Below are 23067 nucleotides of genomic sequence, written 5' to 3' on the forward strand. Positions count from 1 at the left end.
TGATGAACTATATTAGGTTATCTACTGCTTTCCAATCAAAAGTAAAAATGTTTATATTTACTTCTACATAGTTAAATGCTTTTTTCTCCTATTAATACACCTCATGCCACATCAGTTCTTATTCTTGTGTTTCTCTCTACCCCAACTTATTATCTTTTTTTTTTTGAGGCGGAGTCTCGCCCTGTCACCCAGGCTGGAGTGCAGTGGCGCAATCTCAACTCATTCCAATCTCTGACTCCCAGGTTCAAGTGATTCTCCTGCCTCAGCCTCCCAAGTAGGTGGGACTACAGGCATGTGCCACCATGCATGGCTAATTTTTGTATTTTTAGTAGAGACGGGGTTTCACTATGTTGGCCAGGCTGGTTTTGGAACTCCTGACCTCATAATCAGCCTGCCTTGGCCTCCAAAGTGCTAGGATTACAGGCGTGAGCCACCGCGCCCAGCCTTGTTATCCTTAAAGGTGAAACAAAACAAAGACTTATTTTCTTCAGATTGCCCAAATACATCAAAGTACCTAACAACACAGATACAAAGTAATTCATTTCATAAAGAAGGGAAAGTCAGTGTTCATTTTTCCCGCAAGGATTATCAAATACTTGTCCCATGGACAAACGCAAAGCACTCCACCAGGAGCCCTGATGGCCCACAGTACTGACCTGACCTCAGAGACACAGGAGGGGCGAATCACATCAGGAGGAATATTATACTGAGAACTTCAACCAGCCATTCAAAATGTCAGTAGTGGGGTAAAAGCCTTGACTAGTGACTTATCAATTTCAAGATGCTTAACTATGTAACAAAGCATGTATGTTATGTATTAAAACTGTACCTTCTCCATTTTAACACAGGCTCTATGAACACATCCATGATCTCAGCCTTTTCCTCTTCAATGATGCCCTGCTCGTTTCTAGTCGGGGCACATCTCACACTCCATTTGAGAGGACTTCAAAAACAACCTACCAGTTCATTGCATCAGTGGCCCTTCATCGGTTACTCATAGAAAATATTCCAGATTCCAAGTGTATGTATTCTTTTCCTTCCAAGAGACAGATACCTTCAAAAAGCTATATAATGTAAAGCTCTTTAACAGAACAGTAGAAAAAGGACTGGAATTATAATTTACCAGGTTGCAAACAATTCCCCCAATATTAGAATTTCATTAAACAATGTAAACTTTCATCTACTTTTGAAATGGTTAAAGACAGGGCTTCTGGCATTCAGACATGAACCTTAGACATTAGGAAAACAGCTTTCAAAAATCACAAAGGGAGGCAAGGCCCCTATTTCCGTTCTTTGAAGCAGTGACATGAGAGCTGGAGCTCTCAACCACTATTCTATACTGTCTGAAGATGCCACAGTCTTAAAGCATATTTTAAATTTTTATCTATTACTTTCCCATTCTACTAGGACTAAGTGATTATTACATATTTGACACTACCTTTCCTTCCTTAAGTTTGCATCTAAGCTAGGAGTTGTTAAATAAAGGAATCAACAGATATGCAAAGGATGCTTGGTAAATTATTCACACACAGTAATTCCAATAGAAATATCATTTTGTCACGAAAACGAAATCCTACTTAAACCCACTATACATATTTTGTTATTATCCTATACTTTACTTCCCAAGCTTAAAAGGATCTGTATCTTATTCCTATATCTGTTAGGCCAGGCAATCTGAATGTAACATCTCTCATTCCAATGTTTTTCACTGCATGTAAAGACAGGACTTTGGTTAAAGTTGGAACCCAAGACCTTACAGAAGTACCAAACTAAATAAAAGGGCTATTTCCCAGTGGCTTTAGCCCCATTCTAAATCTGAGCCTGAGAAAAGAATGAGTATTTCCACCTAGAATACAAACTCAGGTTAAAAAGGCTTAATTAACTATCATCACTGGGTATGGTTAGTGTATGAAACATGTCTCCTTCAGTTCCCCTCCCACCATGACAATCAGCTGTGACCTATGTCAAAACATTGTTAAGTAACCTAATAGACAGTGGGCATTCAGCTAAGTAGCTGGCTTGATTCTGTCACTGGCTCTCATACTGAGGTCGTCTAGGTCTAGCTCTTAGCATCTTTATTTATAATAACTATCAGTAAAGACTGTTACTGATTCCAGTTCCTTCTGGAGTGATTGAGACAAGGAATTAAAAAACATCACATCATCTATCCGTTAGTCTTTAAAATAATTGCTAATTACAATAACTGTAATATAAAGACATCATTTTACACTGCATGTGAATTATTCAGTAATTTTAGGAAGTTATATTCTACACTGAATATGTATTTCTTTTTAGGTTTTAAAAAATTCTTAAAGATGATGATTTTTGAGTATTAACATTTTTTCTCATTTTGATTGTTATCTGCAAAGATTAATTAGTATACCTCAAATGCTTTTACAGATGTCAAGAATGCATTTATTCTTCAGGGTCCAAAATATAAATGGATTTGTGCTACAGAAATAGAGGATGATAAGTTCCTATGGCTGTCAGTACTTCGAAATGCAATCAAAAGCAGTATGGAGAAGTGAGACCGAACTTGAAAACTTCAGGGGTGCCAATTCTCCCCAGCAAAGACAGACAACATGTATTTTCTGTTCCAAAATATCCAGTAAGAAACAGAATAACTGTCATGGATGATGAGATAAACTAAGATGACCCATAGGATCTTTCCAACTTTTAAACTTTATCACTTGTGCTCACTTATGTAGAATGTATAAGTACATTTTGAGTCCAAAATTTTGAACTACTTCTTTTGGTAGCTGTATTTCATGGATAATATTATTTAGAGTAATTTGATGTGATGAAACCTAAGACAGAGCAAGCACATTGTGTAAAGCTTTGTTTTATGATCTAATGAAAAAAGCAGAATGAAAGTGTTTCTTAAGTGATCAGTCTAGAAAGATATTTTAATTTGTTGGTGATTTACCATTTTTAACATTTTCATGAAACAATTATTGATTTAAAATATGGATAAGAGGGCTGGGCATGATGACTCACGCCTGTAATCCCAGCACTTTGGGAGGCTGAGGTGGCAGATTACCTGAGGTCAGGAGTTTGAGACCAGCCTCACCAACATGGAGAAACCCCGTCTCTACTAAAAATACAAAATTAGCCAGGCATGGTGGCACACGCCTGTAGTCCCTGCTACTTGCGACGCTGAGGCAGGAGAAGAATCACTTGTACCCGGGAGTCGGAGGTTGTAGTAAGCTGAGATGGCTCCATTGCACTTCAGCCTGGGTGACAAGAGCGAACCTCTGTCTCAAAAAAAAAAGAAAAAAAAAAGGACAAGAAATACAAATGGCAATTTACTCAAAAACTTGTCACACTTATCCTTAGTATGAATGTACTCCTCTAGAGAGCATTAAAGATATACCACTACAAAGTACTAAAAAGTTTTCTATAATTTTTAAGTGTTATTTATTGGAAGGCTAAATTCTAAGAAGCTTTAACAAATATTTTTGACATTGTTAAATTAGAAGGCTATTTTTAAAAAGCATATTTTAAAAAACAAAACTAAATGGAAACAGCAAAACTTGCTTGTAATGAAATACAGCTGAGTAAAAATGTTTCTTTGAAAACAAAGACACTCAGAAAAACAGGTGTTGAGTAGTTTCCTGGGCCTTTAATGCTTTAAATTTATTATTTAACAACTAAAGCCATACTGAAAGCCACTTGGAAACTTCAGCTGATGTATATTTTTACCTAGATATTGTCAGGTAAAAATTGTATTAATCTTGGAAGCTTGAGGTTGTCAGTTTCCCTTGTTCTTCAAATTCTTGTTTACAGTAACAAAGTCTATCGGTGCAGTTTAGGACTGTGAATCTATAGTATTTAAACATTTTTTCTTTCAGAAATGAAAATACAAAATCTTCTATTTCTTAAAACTTTAAATCTTGTTAAAAAGATGAACAAAAGTTAAAATATTATGCTGTTTTATTGGTGTAAAACCACACTTCTGATTCTGCCAAGATATATCCATGCAGTTTAAAATCTATGATCCTATAGACAGAATAAATCTTAAAGGGAATATCTGCTGTTAGCAATGGATCGAAATGTATATATCATTTAATATTAAACAAAATCTAAAACAGCATATTGTCCTGAATAAGGCATACTCCAGAAACTCATTAATAGGAAAAACTTGTCTGTATAGCAAAAGAATGAGTGACAAGATGGCTAAAGGTAAACTAGAAATCCTAAGGAATTTCCCTTTATTCTGGGAATAACTGATATCCTCAGAAGTTTTAAAACAATACTTAAAAAAATTAAGAAAGGCCATTACTCATACCTATTTCATAAGTTTACATGACTGCTGAATTATTGAATCTCATAAAATAGTTCGAAGTCGCTGATGAAGTTGATCACATTTCCACAAGGAAAATATAAAATCTCACATGTTTGTATTTGTCACAAGTTGACATGTAAAAGAGGCTTCAATGTACCACATGATTTGTGAAGAATGTAGACGGCTGCAGAGAGTAAATTAGCTTATGGTGAAAACCACCTTATCCAATATAATTCTTTAAAATCAAAATTAAATGGGAAACTCTTTCTAAAGATTTTTATAGAATAGATGCTTTATGTAAAATATTAAACATAAAAGGACAAACTGACAATTTATTTCTGAGTCTGTGACTGAGATGTAAATGAGGAGCCCATTCTATAAATTAAATTGGTGTGTGGTATTAGCCATAGAAGCATTGCATATCCCAGATGCTAGGGAACAGAAAAGGTGGGTGTGCCAACAAACACAATCTACCCTCCAGAAAACGCCATCCTGACCTTTTTATTGTCGAAATTAAAAAATAAAAGATACTTAAATACAACGGTGAACATATAGGGCAAAACAGAATCATAAAATTTAATGTTGAGTTAAGCAGTGAGCTGAATGTCTAGGTCTCCAAATTGGCTTTGAACCCAAAACCACTTAAAAACAAGTATGTTCACAGTTAACGGCAATTGGCTTATAGGTGAGAGAATGGTCGAAGTTGTTCCAGTTGAACTTCCAGGGAAATTCTCTCCTCAAGAACATCCTGAAAAAGATGCAAAGGCCAAGTTATGTTTCAAAGTATATAAAAATGAAGAAATATCTAACAACAGCTCTGCTTCAAGAAAACAATTTAAATTTGTCAAGACAACTAAGGGAGAGCTTATTCATATTTTAAAAGTATACTTCACTTTAGAAATGTAGTTTCTTTTTTTTGAGACGGAGTCTCGCTCTGTCGCCCAGGCCGGACTGCGGACTGCAATGGCGCAATCTCGGCTCACTGCAAGCTCCGCTTCCCGGGTTCACGCCATTCTCCTGCCTCAGCCTCCCGAGTAGCTGGGACTACAGGCGCCCGCCACCGCGCCCGGCTAATTTTTTGTATTTTTAGTAGAGACGGGGTTTCACCTTGTTAGCCAGGATGGTCTCGATCTCCTGACCTCATGATCCACCCGCCTCGGCCTCCCAAAGTGCTGGGATTACAGGCGTGAGCCACCGCGCCCGGCTGAAATGTAGTCTCTTTATATGTTTAATATTAAAATAAGATCCTAGTAATTTCAAACATTTTCTTATTACACAAATCAGGGAAATAGAATGTCTAGTTTTTAGAAAAGTCACTGTTTGCAACAATGGGTATTAACACCTGAATTTTGCAATAAACCCGCCCCCTGGTAGATGAATTTGTTAATGTAGCTTCTTTTCCCTAGTGATGACATCTGGCTATATCAACTCCTAGATCTCATTTTGAGCTTTAGTTTCCCAAAGAATAACTTTGCATTCAGAATTTTTAATCAATGTTGATTTTAGGCAGTCTTTTCAGTTAGCCACCATATTCTAACTTACTTACTTTCCTATTTTTCTCTTTCAAATTGACAGTATTGTGTTTTAACCAGAACTACCTCTATTTTGTACCTTACTTCCCATTTTCTGTTCTCAGAAGTAAGGAAAAAAGTAATTTTTCAAAATAGCTTCTATATACTTGTTTCAATGGTCTTCCCTGGTTCAGAAAAACATGCATTAACAAAATTTTCATCTTCATGGTATTATACTACTAAGCTTGTCTTTAAGTTCATTCTTCCTGTACGATGGACTAAATTAATAATCATATAACTACAAATGTCTTCTCCTCTGATCATAGAGTTATACAACAATATCATTCATTCAGTAGATGTTTATCAAATGCCTAAAATATGATCTAGGTTTTGGGGATAGACACAAAGTGGCCATAAGTTTATATCATTCATTCAACAGACATTAAAAAATGCCTAACATACTAGGTTTCGAGGAGAGGGACAAGACGGTCATAAGTTTATCTAGGACAATCCCAGTTTATACCCAGTGTCTTGGCCTAAATGATAGTAATACCACCCTCTTTTTTTCCTCTCAAAAGTGTCTCGATTTGGATGGTATATTACGTGGTCTTCCTAAACAGAAATGATTATGATTTACCCTCAATGAGTTCACTGTAGTAGGACAGAGAGACAAATGTGTCACAGATAATAATTCCAGGACAGTGTAATAAATGCTAAATGAGGAGCATGAACAGAATGTTAGGAGAATGAACTAACTGCATTCATTTTTCATTTCCATGGACTCTCATCTCATCTTTGTTCTATTCCAAGTGGGGCCAACAGTGCTCCAGCATCTCCACTGCCTGGAAGCTTAGGAGAAATGCAGAATTCCCAGGTCCCACCTTAGCTCTACAAAAACCAGAATCTTCATTTTAACATGACCCAAGATTACCTGTATATGCCTTAAGGTTTGAGAACCACTGGTTTGTAAGACATGAGTACCTAATAATGTTGGGGAACCATAAGCAATTCTGGGAGTAATTTTTTTTTTTGACTCAATAAAGAAGGAGTAAGTAAGAGTAATTTTTATTTCTAGGGATGCAAAGAAATTATAGTTACTAGAAAACAAACACATTCCTCTCAGGTATTAGGTGACAGTATACACACTGCATAAGCAGCATTTCTATTTAAGGCTTGCCTTTTCTCTTTCCACATGCAAGATGACTGAAATTGCTGCCACTTCTCTTCTTCTTTAGACCTGTTTAAGTCCCTTTAATGGAATCTGAGTTGTCTTTGATAAAAGGACAAACTAGGACCTGGGTGCAGTGGCTCACGCCTGTAATCCCAGCTACTCAGGAGGCTGAAGTGGGAGGATAGCTTGAGCCCAGGTTGCCAGGGTGATAGAGCGAGATCGTGTCTCTTTAAAAAAAAAAAAAAAAGTGTGTGTGTGTGTGTGTGTGTGTGTGGCGGGGAGGGGTTAACTAACCACAGTCAAAGCATCTAGAAAATTAGAGAAGAGAACCATATATGTGATCTTGGAGGTATCTGAGGTCACATTCCTTCTCTTTAGGTTTCTTTACTAAGATAAGGAACATTATAAAGATTCAGAAACTATATTACCTTTAATTGTTGCTGCAATTCGCTATTCAATCTGGCCAAAACGGTGTTGGTTTCCTTATTACGTCTAATTGATGCCTGAATAGCTTTCTTATCTTTCCCAACAGATCTGAGAAGATAAAGAAGGCAAAAAAACCCATAACCTTCATTTCTTATCTTAAATCCTCTCTATTCCTTCCTGATCTATTTCTAAACATGAGAAGCAAAAAGAGCATCTTTTTCCTTACTAGCACAGCTCAACCTCACTTGCTCAGTTGCAGTAGTATATAAGCTTCAGCACTATAGGAAAGGTTAAAAAAAAAAAAAGAAATTATTAAAAAAATTCTTCTTCTGTAGAATCACCTGAATTTAAGTAAAAGAGTCTAAAGTAGGTACTGGCAAACCTTTTCTGTAAAAAACCAGATAGTAAATAATTTCAGGCTTTGTGGGCCAAAGAGTTTCTGTCTCATATTCTAGTTTTTTGTTTTCTTTTCTCTTCTATTTTTTCTTCTCTCTTCTACAAAAAAGAAAAAGTCATTCTTAGCTCATGGGCTATACAAAAACAGGCCATAGGCTGAATTTGGCCCATTAAGACTTAATCTGCTGATTCCTGGTCTAGAACACCATAATTAAAATACCAGTTTTACTATAAACTATCAAGTTTAAAAAATGTACTGCTACGGGGTTTGAAAACAGGGTGTTAAAATGGCATTGAATTCAACTTAATAAAGGGGGAAACATGGGAAGAATACCTACCCGTACATGAGGAGGCTCTGCTCAATTAAAGAACTAGTCTGACCATAATTTACTTCAGTCTGATTATTGTTATTATTATTATTTGTGAGATGAAGTCTTGCTCTGTTGCCCAGGCTGGAGTGCAGTGGTGCCACCTCGGCTCACTGCAACCTCCGCCTCCTGGGTTCAAGCAATTCTCCTACCTCAGCTTCCCGAGTAGCTGGGACTACAGGTGTGTACCACCACACCCGGCTAATTTTTTTGTATTTTTAGCAGAGATGGGGTTTCACCATGTTGGTCAGGCTGGTCTAACTCCTGACCACAAATGATCTGCCCAGCTCAGCCTCCCAAAATGCTGGGATTACAGGTGTGAGCCACCACGCCTGGGCCAGTTTGATTACTTTTAATTGTCGTGCTTTTTCTTCCTAGTAATTAAATGTGTCTAGGAATAGCTTTGATTACCTGGGAATAGAAGGTTGTGATGCAAGAACAGCAGCTAAGACACCCGTCTTTTGTGTATGTTCATCAACTTCTGGCCTTAATTCATCTTCTGATTTTAATCTTCTTCGAACAGGTTTAGGTGGTGGAGCAAGTGGTGTTGTGCCTTTGCTCTTTAAGACAAGAATTCCATTAATAATAAGCATTTTTGAAGACATTCATAGTTAGCACTTTGCAACACCATTTGCTTTCTTTAAGCCATTTGCTCTTGGAAAATTGAAAGTTACTTGTCCTACTTTAAATCTATATATTTGTGGCAAGAGCTAACTTAAATTACAGTGAGAAAAGATGTTTCTAGTTGACACCACAATCATGAATGTACCTGCAATATAAGTATTTTTAGAGCAACATACTGATGCAAGACTGTAATATTCACAGTTTTAACATAAATATGATACAGAATCAATATATACCTGTTCAACAATAAACAAAGGCAGTCTCCAGAAATATCTATGCATTATCACCATAGGATTTCTTACTCAAAAATACTAACATTCATCTTAGTGAATAAAATAACATTATAAAGTAATGGAAAGCTAGGCAACTCTTTAAAAAACCAAAAACATCATTATTAATATGCACAGTAATTATAACTTCTGAAAATGAGTTGACAGTTTGTCGGTGATTATGAATCTGCCCTTGGCAGAATAAAAAACAGCATTTTGGCATTTACCATAACTTGATTTACCTGTAAATAAATAAAAACAATAGTCAACTGCTATCTCTTTAGTTAAGTGATATTTTTAATTTGTTACTGTGAGTTGACAAAAATAAAGTTCATTACTTAAAAACTCACAGGACTACTAATGTAATAAAACATAGTGATATGGTTTGGCTCGGTGTCCCCAGATCTCACTTCAAATTGTAATCCCCATGTGTCAAGCGAGGGGCCTGGTGGGAGGTGACTGGGTCATGGGGGTGGTCCCCCATGCTGTTCTTATGAGAGTGAGGGAGTTCTCACAAGACCTAATGGTTTTACAGTGAGGCACTTCCTCACTCTTTTTCTATCCTGCCACCTGCTTCCCCTTTGCCTTCCGCCATAAATGTAAATTTCCTGAGGCCTCCCCAGCCATGCAGAGCTGTGAGTCAATTAAATCTCTTTTGTTTATAAATTACCGTCTCAGGTGGTATCTTTATAGCAGTGTGAAAACAGACTAATACACACACAGTGTCCAGAAAGTAGAATTTAAGCACTTCAGAAACACATGCTGTTTTTATAACTATTGGGAATGTCTAGATAACAGAAAAAAAAAGTTACCAAAATTATTCCCTCAAAGGGAAAGTGTGCTGATACTTGCAATCTAAAGTACACTGATATAGTTTAGATATTTGTCCCCTCCAAATCTCATGGTGAAATGTGACCTCTAATGTTGGAGGTGGGCCTAGTGGGAGGTGTTTGGGTCATGGAGATAGATCCCTTGTGAATGGCTTGGTGCCCTTCTCACAGTAATGAATGAGTTCTTACTCTTGAGTTCACATGAGAGCTGGCTGTTTAAAGAGCCTGGCATCTCTCCTTGCTCCCTCACTCACCATGTGACACACCGGCTCCCACTTTGCCTTCTGCCATGATTCTAAGTTTCCTGAGGCTTCACAAGAAGCAGATGCTGGTACCATGCTTTCTGTACAGCATGCAGAACCATGAGGCAAAATAAACCTCTTTTCTTTTTTTGAGACAGGGTCTCACTCTGTCACCCAGGGTGGAGTGTAGGGCACTATCTCAGCTCACAGCAACCTCCACCTCCCAGGCTCAAGCGATCCCCCCACTTCAGCCTGCCAAGTAGCTGGGACTATAGGCGCATACCACCACACACGGCTAATATTTGTACTTTTTGTAGAGACGGGGTTTCGCCACATTGCCCAGGCTGGTCTCAAACTCCTGAGTTCAAGTGATCCGCCTGCCTTGGACTCTCAAAGTGCTGGGATTACTGGTGTGAGCCACTGTGTCCGGCATAACCTCTTTTCTTTACAGATTACCCAGTCTCACATATTCCTTTATAGCAATGCAGACGGACTAACACAGACATAAAACATATAAGGATTGACAGATGAACAGATGGCATGGAGAGATATGTAGTAAAGCAAGTATCCTAAAATAATAATGGTATAAAGTAGTGAATTTACTGATGTACAATGAAAAATTGTTTCAATTTTTCTGTATGCTTAAACGTTTTCATAATAAAATGTTGGGGGAAAAAATTATACCTAAAACAGTTAAAGAACAAGTTAAGAGAACAGGGAATAATAACAACCTTAGAGGGCTGATAATTTTTCTTTATTATATTGAAGACTACAATAAAAGAAACTGAATTTCACCTATAAAGAAGTTCTACCTTATATAGTGGGAAGAATGCAATAACCACTTAAATTTTGAGAACCTGTGACACATACTTAACATAGATTACAGAATATCATCTCCATTAAATAGGCAGACTTTGTTCTGAGCTAGACTGACTATACTACAGTTAAAGGCAGAGAAATGGGTTAGATGATTTCTGGCTGACCTTATTTCTAAAAATTATTTCACATTACTTATGATGTACAAAATTATTATTATAAAAGACATTTTGCATACCACATTGGCAGGAGCACTAGCAGCTGTCTTTTCTTCAGTTTTACTATCTGTTTTGGCAACTCGAAGAGAACTTGCAGGATCAGAAGCTTTTTCAGCCTAAAAATGAATATGTTTATCACTATTAATTCTACATAACATGTAATTATGCATAAATATAGAATATGTACCAAATCAGAATAAAATGTTAAATATTCTGACAAGAAAACTGAGATGATGATAAGAAACTTGAAGGAACTTTATTAAATGAGCCTTCTCTGCTACTGAAAGGCAGATGGGAGAGCAGGTAATAGATGTGTGAGGGAGAGGAGGACAGGGCAAGGATGCAGCTATGTAACAGATGTGTGAGGGAGAGGAGGACAGAGCGAGGATGCAGGTAACAGATGTGTGAGGGAGAGGAGGATGGGGCGAGGATGCAGGTAATAGATGTGTGAGGGAGAGGAGGACGGGGCAAGGATGCAGGTAGTAGATGTGTGAGGGAGAGGAGGATGGGGTGAGGATGCAGGTAGTAGATGTGTGAGGGAGAGGAGGAGGGGACGAGGATGCAGCTATGTAATAGATGTGTGAGGGAGAGGAGGACAGGCGAGGATGCAGGTCATAAATGTGTGAGGGAGAGGAGGACGGGGTGAGGATGCAGCCACTGCACCGAACCTCTAAGTGGTTAGTCTGGGAAGTCTTCGTGGTTGGGAGAAGGGAGGCATCCACCCAGGGGAGTGAGTACGGTACCCTGTGCACACCTCTACATGCCCACTCTGACCCTCCTAGATGCAGCCCAGTCCCCTAATGGGCACGGCAGAAAGTTGTAGGTTTTAAAAGGGAGCTAGTAGGAAATTTTCCATGGCTATGACCTATAAGAAAGAGATTGCAGAATTCCTCTGGTCTCTCCAACTCCACATTTATGCTCAGCAATTTAGGTCAGAGATTCCTAGAGAGGTTCTTGCCATTGGAACTACAATAGAATATCCTAGAACACTGTGAATATTAAATTTTGGTATCCTATAGTCTTTGCTTAACTAAGGCAACTTACTCTCATACAAATTTTAAATGCTTTAATTAGAAGTTTGGCTGAAATTTGTTTTTAGTTAAAGTTGTAATTAGATCTAAAAGTTACATATAGTGAAATTCCCCTTGGGGAAAAGTTGCAATGAGTGGAGCTATGGTAACCATGGCCTCTTATGACAGGGAAATCTTCACCAAATCACACAGACAGATGCTTAGCATTAAGATGGAAACCCCCAAAGCAGCGTTTTAGCCACGGCCAGGCGGTGGTGTCTTTGCATGTGATATCAATCCCCCACCCCCACCAGACTCTGATACTTAGTAAGCATTACACTGCAACCAGCAGATATTGGAGGCCAATAAAAAAGATGAGAAGCACTGACCCAGGGAATATTTTACTCACTGATGTCCCCTCTAATATCTGCTCTGTTGACACAACATGGTATGGGAAGTGACTGCCTGCAGAAAATTAGCCAAGCCCTCGAAAACTGACCGGCAGGACTTCTGGATGTTTCTCGGCTTCATCATCTTGTTCGTCGTTTACATTTGATGCAGCAAATACTTCAAACTGACTGAAATCTGCAAAATTTGGTTGCTCTGGTATCTGCTGAGGTGAGGTACTAGTGTGAGTTATGAGGCCATCGGCATCCACTGGGCGATGCACAGCAGGACCAGGAGCCTGTGCAATGGTTCAGAACAGAGGAACACACATTCTATCAGCCTATCAGTGTCACAGAGTCATCTTCTTCTTCTTCGAAAACTTAGTATATAAAGATGACCTGTTTTATTATCTGTAAGTTCAGAGAGGTGTATTATAGTAACATTTAGCTCTAAAGAAATGATTAAACCATAAGTGAAAAGCTAAGACACTAAAAAAAAAATTAAGATGATAAACCTCCAATAAAAAGATATTTTTTTTCAAAAACTGTATTGCAAAGAAAGTACAATGAAGGAGAGGGTAGGTCTGGCCCTACCCCCATTCTCCACTTGCATGTGTTTTTTTCTTAATTGGACTAATGCACAATAGTTTCTTCCTTAAATAAGTTATTTTTTTTTAATGTTTCACTGTTTCTTAAAAAGCTTGCTCTAAAAAGTGTGAAAACCACTGCTCTATCCTCCCAACATGTCAGGAACACTTCCCTTCAATTCATCTTCCACTCCTTTGCCAGCCAGACCAATGCTGCTCCATCTTCAGTCTAAAAATATGTTTACTGAATATGTACTTGTGAACAAAACAAATGAGGCCCACTTATACTCTAATAAAGCTGACAGTCCGGAGCAGGAGAAGAGAATAAGTAAATAAGAAATTAAAATAGAGTGTGAGATGTTTTATGACAAAGGAAGTAAAGGATACTAAAGAAAGAAATCTGAAGTCTCTTCCCTTTAAAAATTCTTCATCTCCTCTAAGAAAAAGTCTATCCTTCTTACTACGATATGGACAGCTTCATTTCTCATCACTCCACACATCTACTCCTGTTGTGCTGAACTAACTTGTTTTCCCCTGAGGAATGTGCCAGGCTTAACACAAACCTCCATCGCTTTGTGGATGTCATACCTTCGGTTTGGAATACCTTTTCCCCAATAAATTCCACTTTATCTTTCAAGTCCCTGCTAAGTCTCATTCCTTCATTTCATGTATAATGTGATCCTTAACTTTAGCCACTAAGGCTGTCCCAAAGCATTTTATAAATGTCTACTACAGCACTCTAATTTTGATGTGGAAGGGATGCAGAGGTCATTATACTTCCTTAACTCATGTGGTAAACACATCCAGAGAGATGCAGTGAGGTTATTTAGGGGTATTTTGTTTTGTTTTGAGACAGGGTCTCACTCTGTCATCCAGGCTGGAGTGCAGTGGTGCAATTACAGCTCACTGCAGCCTTGATCTCCCAGGCTCAAGAGATCCTCCCACCTCAGCCTCCCAAGTAGCTGGGACTACAGGTGCACACCACCACACCCAGCTAATTTTTTTGTTTTGTTTTTAGAGATGGGGGTCTCACTATGTTGTCCAGGCTGGTCTGGAACTCCTGGGCTTGAGAAATCCTACTGCCTTAGCCTCCCAAAGTGCTGCAATTACAGGTGTGAACCACTGCACCCAGCCTGGTGAAGTGATTTTGTGAGTCACTGCTAGACCCAGGACATTAATGGATATTTCCTATCTCCCAATCCATTGTTGTTTCCACTAAACTCTTCTCTGTCAAGACATTATCATTTGTTTCACTTTTAAGGCTCTTTCAAAAAATAACTCAGATCATTCTTGAAATGTGCATCTTTCAAAATGAGATTCAGCCTCACTGAATTAAATGCTCATTAAAGATTACCAACAGATCATTCCTGACCTTCCAAATAATTTGAGAATAGAATTAAATACCTAGCAGGCAAAGTGATCATGGGACATTTAGTAATAAATACCTTGGAGAATTACCTGTGAGGGCTGTGGTCTTGGAGGCACTGCAGGAGGATGGGCAACAACTCCAGCCTGTTGTTGTCCTGCATGAATACAAAAGTTCTTCTTTTTAGTAACTGTATAATCACTTTGTTAATAGAAGAAATAGGCTGAATGAATGTGACTACATGATAAAGATTTCTAAGAATGTTTGTTAAGTATTAGAAGGCAAGTACTAACTTGTTACATGGTCTGTATGTAACCTAAAGACCAAATCTCACAGCCTTTCATCAGATCTCACTTTGCTTCTTACCTCTATTACATGAAGCCCTCCTGGCATACTCCTGCCTATTCCCATAATAGCAAACAATCTTGATTTTCTTCGTGTATCTCTGACTGCTGTTTAGGTATCAAATGAAAACTTCCAAATTTTCCCTTTCACTTAACACTTCACTTTTCCTCACCATTCTAAACTCACAGTGACTAAAACATAACTTCATCATCCTCTGCCCTAACTTTTCTATTTTAACCAAGGTAACAACAATACTGCCAGTTCTTCAAAAATTAAAAACCTGGGTAAGTTATGACTCTTCTTCTTCATCAGCCAAATTGAGACCTATCAGTTCCCACCCCCCCAACCCCTTAATATCACAACACCGTTCTTTTAAAATTTCCTGTGACATCTCTCAGGTTCCCATCTTCATTATTTGCACTCAAACACACTTTAAGTAGTCATTAAGAAAAGAAATTGCCTCTCATCTGCTGTCTTTTAATCCAAAATTTTCCTTCAGATAATTTTTTTTTTTTTTTTTGGAGACAGGGTCTCACTCTGTCACCCAGGCTGGAGTGCAGTGATGCAATCTTGGCTCACTGCAACCTCTGCTTCCCAGGTTCAAGGGACTCTCCCACCTCAGCCTCCCGAGTAGCTGGGACCACAGACATGCATCACTACATCCGGCTAATTTTTGTATTTTTAGTAGAGATGGGGTTTCACCATGTTGGCCAGGCTGGTCTCGAACTCATAACCTCAAGTGATCTGCCTGCCCCTCAAAGTGCTGGGATTACAGGCATGAGCAACCACACTCGACCAGATAAATATTTTTAAAAGACATGTAATAGAAACAAAAATAAAATGTGTATGTGTGTTGGATTAACTTTAAAATTAAATGATAATGTATATTATGGTTCTCTAGCCCCTACCTGTGGTGACTGTAAAGGTCCGATTCATATCTAAAGATGATGATCTAGAATGAGAGGGCTGTGGCCTTGGAGGGGGAGGTGGTGGTGCAGTGTTATCAGGCGACGTTCCTGAATGAGACCTGCAAAATTCACCCCATGATAATTGGTCATACTACTGATATCAGAGCTTTTTTCTTTTTAAACATTTACACTTGGCTAAGCAGCAAAGGATCTTATTAGCATGACATTTTCTCAACACTCAAGTATGTAAGTGTTACAATAAATTAAGATAGCACTGTTTATGATGTACCCTAAACAACTGATTATTTTATGTGGCTAACAATTTTTTTAATAAAGTTATTAAGCAAAATTTCTTTTTTTCTTTTTTTTTTTTTTTTTTTTTTGAGACAGTCTCACTCTGTTGCCCAGGCTGGAGTGCAGTGACACCATTTTGGCTCACTGCAACCTCCGCCTCCTGGGTTCAAGCGATTCTCCTGCTTCAGCCTCCCAAGTAACTGGGATTACAGGCGCATGCTACCATGCCCGGCTAATTTTTGTATTTTTAGTAGAGACGGAGTTTCACCATGTTGGCCAGGCTGGTCTCGAACTCCTGACTTCAGGTGATCCGCCCACCTTAGCCTCCCAAAGTGCTAGGATTACAGAAGTGCTCGGCCTCAAAAATTTTGAAAAGAAACTTAGTTGTCAACATGATTTCATAATAGACTGCATACTTAGTGTTACGCTTTCCCATTCAATTAAAAGTAATAATAGTCTGAAAAAAAATAATTGTATAAAGGAAAGTCTACTTTCAGATATGGTTAGCTTTCAACCTATTAAGTTCTGGATTTTGGTAAGCTGAAGTACCCTTTCATGTGTCCGCAGAGGCCATCTCATTTTAGAGGTGACTATGCTCAAACTCAACTCGCCCTAGAGATTCACTTCTTTGCTACCAAAGTCTTTCATATTCTGAAAAGAGTCTCCAAGGCCTCTGGTAATCTGATCTGCATATATGGGAATAAACAGCAGAGTAAAATCCAAGATGACTGAGAATGCTAAGAAACACAGGAAGAACTACATGAAGAATCAGAAAGGAAGACAAGCAGCCTTCTGACTCTAAGCTGCTTGGAGATTCTGCATCCTCGCTACATCCACTGGGCACACAGCAAAATGATACTCAACACGTGCAAAAAGTGAGGAGAGAAAGATGCTTCTGTCCTGCACACAGCTTTTAGTGGATGGTAAAGCCCTTGCAGACAAATCTCTAGCCTCCTCCACCCTATCCCACACCCTTCTTGTTTGTGCCTGAAAGGTTATATGTAACGCAGAACTTCAGGGTGGGGAGGTGGCCCACCACTGGGCTGTGCTTTTGGATGGTGTTTTAAAACACAGAATTCTTTTGGTACTTACCATAAGGCTATACATGTATTACTTGACAGATTCTCGTTGTTTAGGTACAAAAAGGACTTATAAAACTTCTATCGTCAAGAAGTTATCACCTCTTTTTAGAGCTTCCACAACATACCATTTAGAAAGTCAGGGTTCTTTTTGTTTTTCTATTCAAGTTGGAAAGGATCAAAATTACTTGTCTTTTACATAAATCAAAAAGTAACCTAACAGCTTTCAGAGAACAAAATCATTTGTGCTTGGTTCTAAATAGTTTTAAACATTAAAACGCAGCAAGATAGTTTAACATGCTTTTCATTGACAGAAATACTGACCTTTGACGAGTTACATTGCTCCCGATCTGTTCTGGGTCAGAAGTAAAAGAGTCTGAACTACTGTAACCATCTGCTGATAAATGGGATATGTCCTATTTAATAATAATCATTTCTTTACTTTTTGCTCTATCTACTCCAAACAAATATAAGTGATATGCTGTTTCAAGCCAGAGATAGTCAAAGATTGGCTAATAGGCTAACAGTTCATCCTAGTGTTATTAACTGTAAAAAATTAACTACAAATAAATCATGGCATATTTACACAGTAGACAAAGCAAGTTATAGTCTAGAAAAAATAATGAATACTTAATGATGCAGAAATATTCAAAATAAGTCACAAAATAGTACATATACAATGTGGCCCTCCAAATCTGTGGTTCTGTATCTGTAGGTTCCACAGCTGAGGATTCAACCAACCGCAAACAGAAAATATTAGAAAATAAAGTAACATTACAACAATAAAAATAACACAAATAAAAAACCATGCAGCATGACCGTTTTTTTAATATAGTTTGCATGCGTGTGTGTGTGTGTATGTTTGTGTGTGTGTGTGTGCGTGTGTATATTTTTTTGGGGGTTAGAAATGAGGTCTCGCTATATTGTCCAGTCTGGTCTCTAACTCCTGGGTTTAAGCAATCCTCCTGCCTTGATTTCCCAAAGTGCTGGGATTACAGGTGTGAGCCACCGTGCCTGGCCCAATAAAACAACTATTTACATTGTATTAAGTATTATAAGAAATCTAGAGATTATTTAAAGTATACAGGAGGATGTGCATAGGTTACATGCAAATACTACACCATTCTACATATCAGAGAGCTGAGCATTCACAGATTTTGGTACCCATGGGGGTCCTGGAACCAATTCCCTAAACATATTGAGGGATGACTGTATTACAATTTCACATTAGATACAAACATAACTTACATATGTGCAGAATGAGAACTAAAGTTGACAATGAATCTGTTAATCACAGACATTTGTGGAATAGTGAGAATATGAATAATTATTTCATTTTTATCTATTACATTTCTACAATAAATACGTTACTTCTGTAATGGACAAAAAGGTCGCTTTTAAAGAACAAATTAGAAATACTTTAAATAAAAGTAATTTTAAAATTGTTAATGTGAAAATTAAAAATTTGACATGGGAATAAAATGTGCTTATACAATAATAATAATTATGAAATTAGCCAAGGATCCCAGCTTTTTCTGCAGAGGAAACATTTATTTTCAATTTCCTCAAAGTCTCATGAAGCACAAGAGAATCCCAGAAATAGACTAAGAGTTGTGACAGAAAAAAGAAATTTTAAGATAGAAACTCTAGAGACAATCTGAAGGAATATTACTACATATGTTCAAGAGTCATAAGCTGAAGGGACTGGTTATTTTAATTGTATTTCAAAATGTATCTCTTTCCTTTTTCTTGTAAATCACAGAATCATCTAGTTGGTACAAGAATGACATTAAAATGAACATATTTCCATCTGGATATTTTAACAGGCACCTCAAGTTTAAAGCATATGAAACTGAACTTGATTCTTTCTCTACAAACCTACAGCTATCAGTTTTCCTCATTTTCCTGTTCTCCAGGCCAAAAACCATGAAACCACCCTTGACTCCTTTCTCTCTTACATCCTATAGCACACAGGTAAAAGCAACTCCTGAGGTCTTTTCCTCCACAATGTACACAATATAGCCAGAGTCCAGCCACTTCTCATCACTTCCACTGCTTGCACCCTAGACACCAAGCTGTCACCATCTTCCCTTGCCTGATTACCGCTATCTCCTAAATTGTGTCCTGTTTTGTCTCGCCTTCTTTTGGCCTATTACCATTAGGAGAGCCAGACTGATCCAGTTAAAAAGCAGGCTCAAATCATGTCACTCCTCCATTCAAACCTTCGATTGGCTTTTCATCTAAGTCAAAGAAAGTCTGACACTGCCTCCTGTTACTATCCTACCACTGCTACCTTTCCCTGCCAAATTTGCTAACTAATTCTATTCCAGGTATTTGCCTGCTATTCTAGTAAAAGCAGGTCCTGCCTTAGGGCTCTACATTTGCTGTTTGCTGTGCCTTAATTTTCCTTCTGGATTTGTACAGCTGAATTCATCTCCTTCAAGTTTTCACTCAAATGACATTTTTTTGGTAAGGCCTTCCTTGACCATCCTATTTAAAATGGCACTCTCTCCACCCTTTCCCAGCTTTATTTTTATTCACAGTATTAGTTACTTTCTAATATAAGAGTTATTTTTTATCTCCCTTTTATCTCCCTTACAGAATGTAAACTCTATAGCAGCAAAGACTTTTTTACTGTTCAATCTCCAGTGCCTAGAACAGATCCTGGCATACTGTATCCAATTAACACTGGCTGAATGAAAGTATACACAATTTCTTGTGTGATAGAAAAGGAAGGAACCACTGAGGAAGAGCCATAAGATCAAACCTGGCTACACAGAGAGGGATGGCAAACAGGAAGCCTGCATTGAAGCAGGAGTCAATGGGCAACCATTTATTCACTGATAGGGCAAAGTGTTCGAAAGGGTTCACTCTCCTCTACTTTATCTAGTGAAGACGGTATTAAATGCATACACATCTGAAATAGTCAGACTCTAAATCCAGACTTAGTAAACTTCAAATGGAAGATGTAATACTTCACTTACCTACAGTATTACCAGAAGCGAATTTCACCGATGAATTTATCTTATTTTCTTCTAAAAGGTCAGATGGTTTCACAAGTAATGGGCTAGTGGGATTTGTATGATCTAATAGAGAATTAATAGGTAAAAATACAAGACATAGGTATTTGAACTGATAAACTCATAAAGCTCAGAGTGTAAGACTTCATTTAAATATCCAAAGAAGTGGCAGGTAAATCCATAAAATGTAAGACAAAATAATATTTTTAATAAAAACAAATGTAAAACTGTTTATTTATAATTTTATTTTCTGCCATAATAGAAGATAGTTTATAATGAAAAAGTTTATTTGCATGTTCACACTTAATTTTATTCCTGCAGCACACTTAAACACTACATATGTAAACTGTAAAGTAAGTTAATTTATAACGCTGACTTACACAAAAAAAATCTACCTTTGAGAAACCCTGAAACATTTAGTCTAAAATGAGACATTCCAAGAGTTCAAGCAAAATATATAATTTCAAAGCCAAAATTTATTTTAACATATATCTCTTCAGTTAAAGTTTTAACATATTTTAAACGTAAATTTACAAGGATGAACATAAAAACCCACGGGGTATTAGAAATGTCACATTTTCAAATGTCCTTATTTTAAAACTCCGTAATTTAAAATAAATTCCTTTTAAAAACAGCAACATAAATAAATATGCATGAACATATACATAATTGTAGAAAGTACTAGCTTAAAAAATAAGCGATGAAAGAAATTTGAACCTTGACAGAATAATTACATATTTCAGTTTGATGTAAAACTAAAATACAAACCAGCAACAGCTTCCTTACCGCTGCCAGTTCTTTTAAGTTCCATTTCCTGCATGTGGATTTTGCTTGGAGTCATACGAATGGGAACTGGATGAACAATAGCAGTATCCTAGAGACAAATGGGAGGAAATAAAGAATTTGTATTAAAATGTCAAGCTAATGCCATGCAATAATCAAAACAAACAAAACTAAAAACCAGTGGACAGGCTTTCCCATTTACACTAAGGCAGGCATGAAAATAAGCTTTGTAAGTTAAAAGCTCTAGAATTCTATTTAAAAATCAAGCTCACTATATATGCCTAGTATCTGCTTAATTAAAAAAAAAAAACATTTTAAGTGGAGTGATTAAAGATTTACATGAAGGCTGGGCACTGACGCTCACACCTGTAATGCCAGCACTTTGGGAGGCCAAGGCAGGAGAATCACTTGAGCCCAGAGAATAGCCTAAGCAACATAGTGAAACCCTGTCTCTTCAAAAAATATAAAAACGATCTGGGCATAGCCCATGACTTATAGTCCCAGCTACTCGGGGATGCTTAGGTAGGAGGATCCTTTTTTTTTTTTTTTTTTTTTTTTTTTGAGATGGAGTCTCGCTCTGTTGCCCAGGCTGGAGTACAGTGGCGTGATCTTGGCTCACTGCAACCTTCCGCCTCCCAGGTACAAGTGATTCTCCTGCCTCAGCCTCCCAAGTAGCTGGGATTATAGGCACCTGCCACCATGCCCGGCTAATTTTTATATTTTTAGTAGAGACAGGGTTTCGCTATGCTGGCCAGGCTGGTCTCGAACTCCTGACCTTGTGATCCGCCCGCCTCGGCCTACAAAGTGCTGGGATTACAGGCGTGAGCCACTGCGCCCGGCCAGGTAGGAGGATCCTTGAGCCTGGGGAGTGGAACCTGCAGTGAGCTGTGATCATGCCACATCATTTCAGCTTAGGTGACAGAGCTAGACCACATCTCAAAAAGTGTGTGTGTGTGTGTGTGTGTGTGTGTGAGATTTACATTTAAAAAATGCTCTTATAAAAACACAGTTCAAGACAATATTAAAAAGTGAGGAATGATCTGATAAAATTATGCAAATGTGAGCCTTGAAGTTAAAATAAACTATTTCATGAGAATCCAAAATCTAAGTAACAGACTGAAAACTCATTTTCAGTAAACTGCTCAAGAAAATTTGACACTTTCTTTAACCTATAAAACAAAGTTAATGAGATGCCTATGACATTGCAATAGTAGGCACAATACAAACTTCCTACGGATTAATTCAAAGTGTTTAAATTTGATTGTCTCAAAATTTAGCATGAAACTGCCACAAAGGAATCCATTTTTTTTAAGAGGAACAAGACTCCCATTCTAAGAAGCTAATACTTTTCTTAAACATTTTTCATTACTGTAATACAGTTGATATTTCTAAACTTCATGAGAGTCTAGTCTAGTTAGAGGACTAAAGGAATTGATAATAAAGACTTCTGACTAGAATGAAAGCACAAAAGAAAGGATGAGAGAATGAAGACAATGGTAGCCTCTCAGAAAAAGAAGAAAAAGAGAGGTGTACCTAGGACACAGTAGGCCTGATCTTAGGGACTGAGACTCCCAGGGCAGAAACCAGAACCAGATCAAGCACCTGGCTTAACAGCAATAGACCAGCTGAGAAACATCACCAAGGGGGCCCAGCTCCTTCTATGAGGGGTCAGTTCACACTCTGTATATGCGGCCGCTAAAGACTGAATTTGAGATCCTAAATTTTGAATATCTAGTCATGAATTAAGTTTATAATTTAGTGTGGAGGATAATGGCCTTTCAGTTTAAGTTGGAAACTGTTTTGGTGAGACAGTACTGTGCTAACACCAAGCCCTTGCTAGAGAAAGCGAAGTTCCAGCATACCCTCTCTTATCTGACATATCTCCTTGCCTTATGTTTATCTCTGAATTCAAACAACTTGTAACAAATTCTTTACATCTATTATACTAACAAATTCATTCAAAGTAATTTCTTGCCCCTACACCACAGAGAATCTGGACAGGGTTCATGTACTTAACCAATCAACCTAACATTTGCCCTACAACTCAAAAATTATAGTTACAAATAATATTAACATTATAGATGGATGAAAGTTTAGATTTGTCTTATAATAATAAGTCATTCTCAGGAAAGT

The 23067-nt window shown here is 37.7% G+C and overlaps 2 protein-coding genes across 26 annotated transcripts in view; one reads left to right on the plus strand and one right to left on the minus strand.

Annotated features, from left to right (window-relative positions):
- ECT2L (epithelial cell transforming 2 like) overlaps window positions 1-3971 on the plus strand; it is a 107984-nt gene extending 104013 nt beyond the window's left edge. For all 7 annotated transcript variants that reach the window (XM_017010828.2, XM_006715472.4, NM_001077706.3 and 4 more), the window contains 2 exons: window positions 849-1021; window positions 2401-3971. In XM_017010828.2, the coding sequence (XP_016866317.1) occupies window positions 849-1021; window positions 2401-2528 (301 nt within the window). In that variant the 3' untranslated portion in view covers window positions 2529-3971. The remainder of the gene's footprint in view (window positions 1-848; window positions 1022-2400) is intronic.
- REPS1 (RALBP1 associated Eps domain containing 1) overlaps window positions 3394-23067 on the minus strand; it is an 84761-nt gene continuing 65087 nt past the window's right edge. For 5 of the 19 annotated variants that reach the window (XM_005267179.5, XM_017011387.3, NM_031922.5 and 2 more), the window contains 10 exons: window positions 20938-21025; window positions 20116-20217; window positions 17456-17525; window positions 15759-15877; window positions 14598-14662; window positions 12666-12851; window positions 11177-11272; window positions 8569-8717; window positions 7396-7501; window positions 3394-5033 (listed from right to left, as the gene is read on the minus strand). In XM_005267179.5, the coding sequence (XP_005267236.1) occupies window positions 4965-5033; window positions 7396-7501; window positions 8569-8717; window positions 11177-11272; window positions 12666-12851; window positions 14598-14662; window positions 15759-15877; window positions 17456-17525; window positions 20116-20217; window positions 20938-21025 (1050 nt within the window). In that variant the 3' untranslated portion in view covers window positions 3394-4964. Of the gene's footprint in view, window positions 5034-7395; window positions 7502-8568; window positions 8718-11176; window positions 11273-12665; window positions 12852-14597; window positions 14663-15758; window positions 15878-17455; window positions 17529-20115; window positions 20218-20937; window positions 21026-23067 lie in introns of all 19 variants that reach the window. The other 14 variants (NM_001128617.3, XM_005267177.5, NM_001286611.2 and 11 more) reach the window with 4 other exon arrangements.

The sequence above is a fragment of the Homo sapiens genome, chromosome 6, assembly GCF_000001405.40.
Source record: "Homo sapiens chromosome 6, GRCh38.p14 Primary Assembly".
NCBI classification, from domain to species: Eukaryota; Metazoa; Chordata; class Mammalia; order Primates; family Hominidae; genus Homo; species Homo sapiens.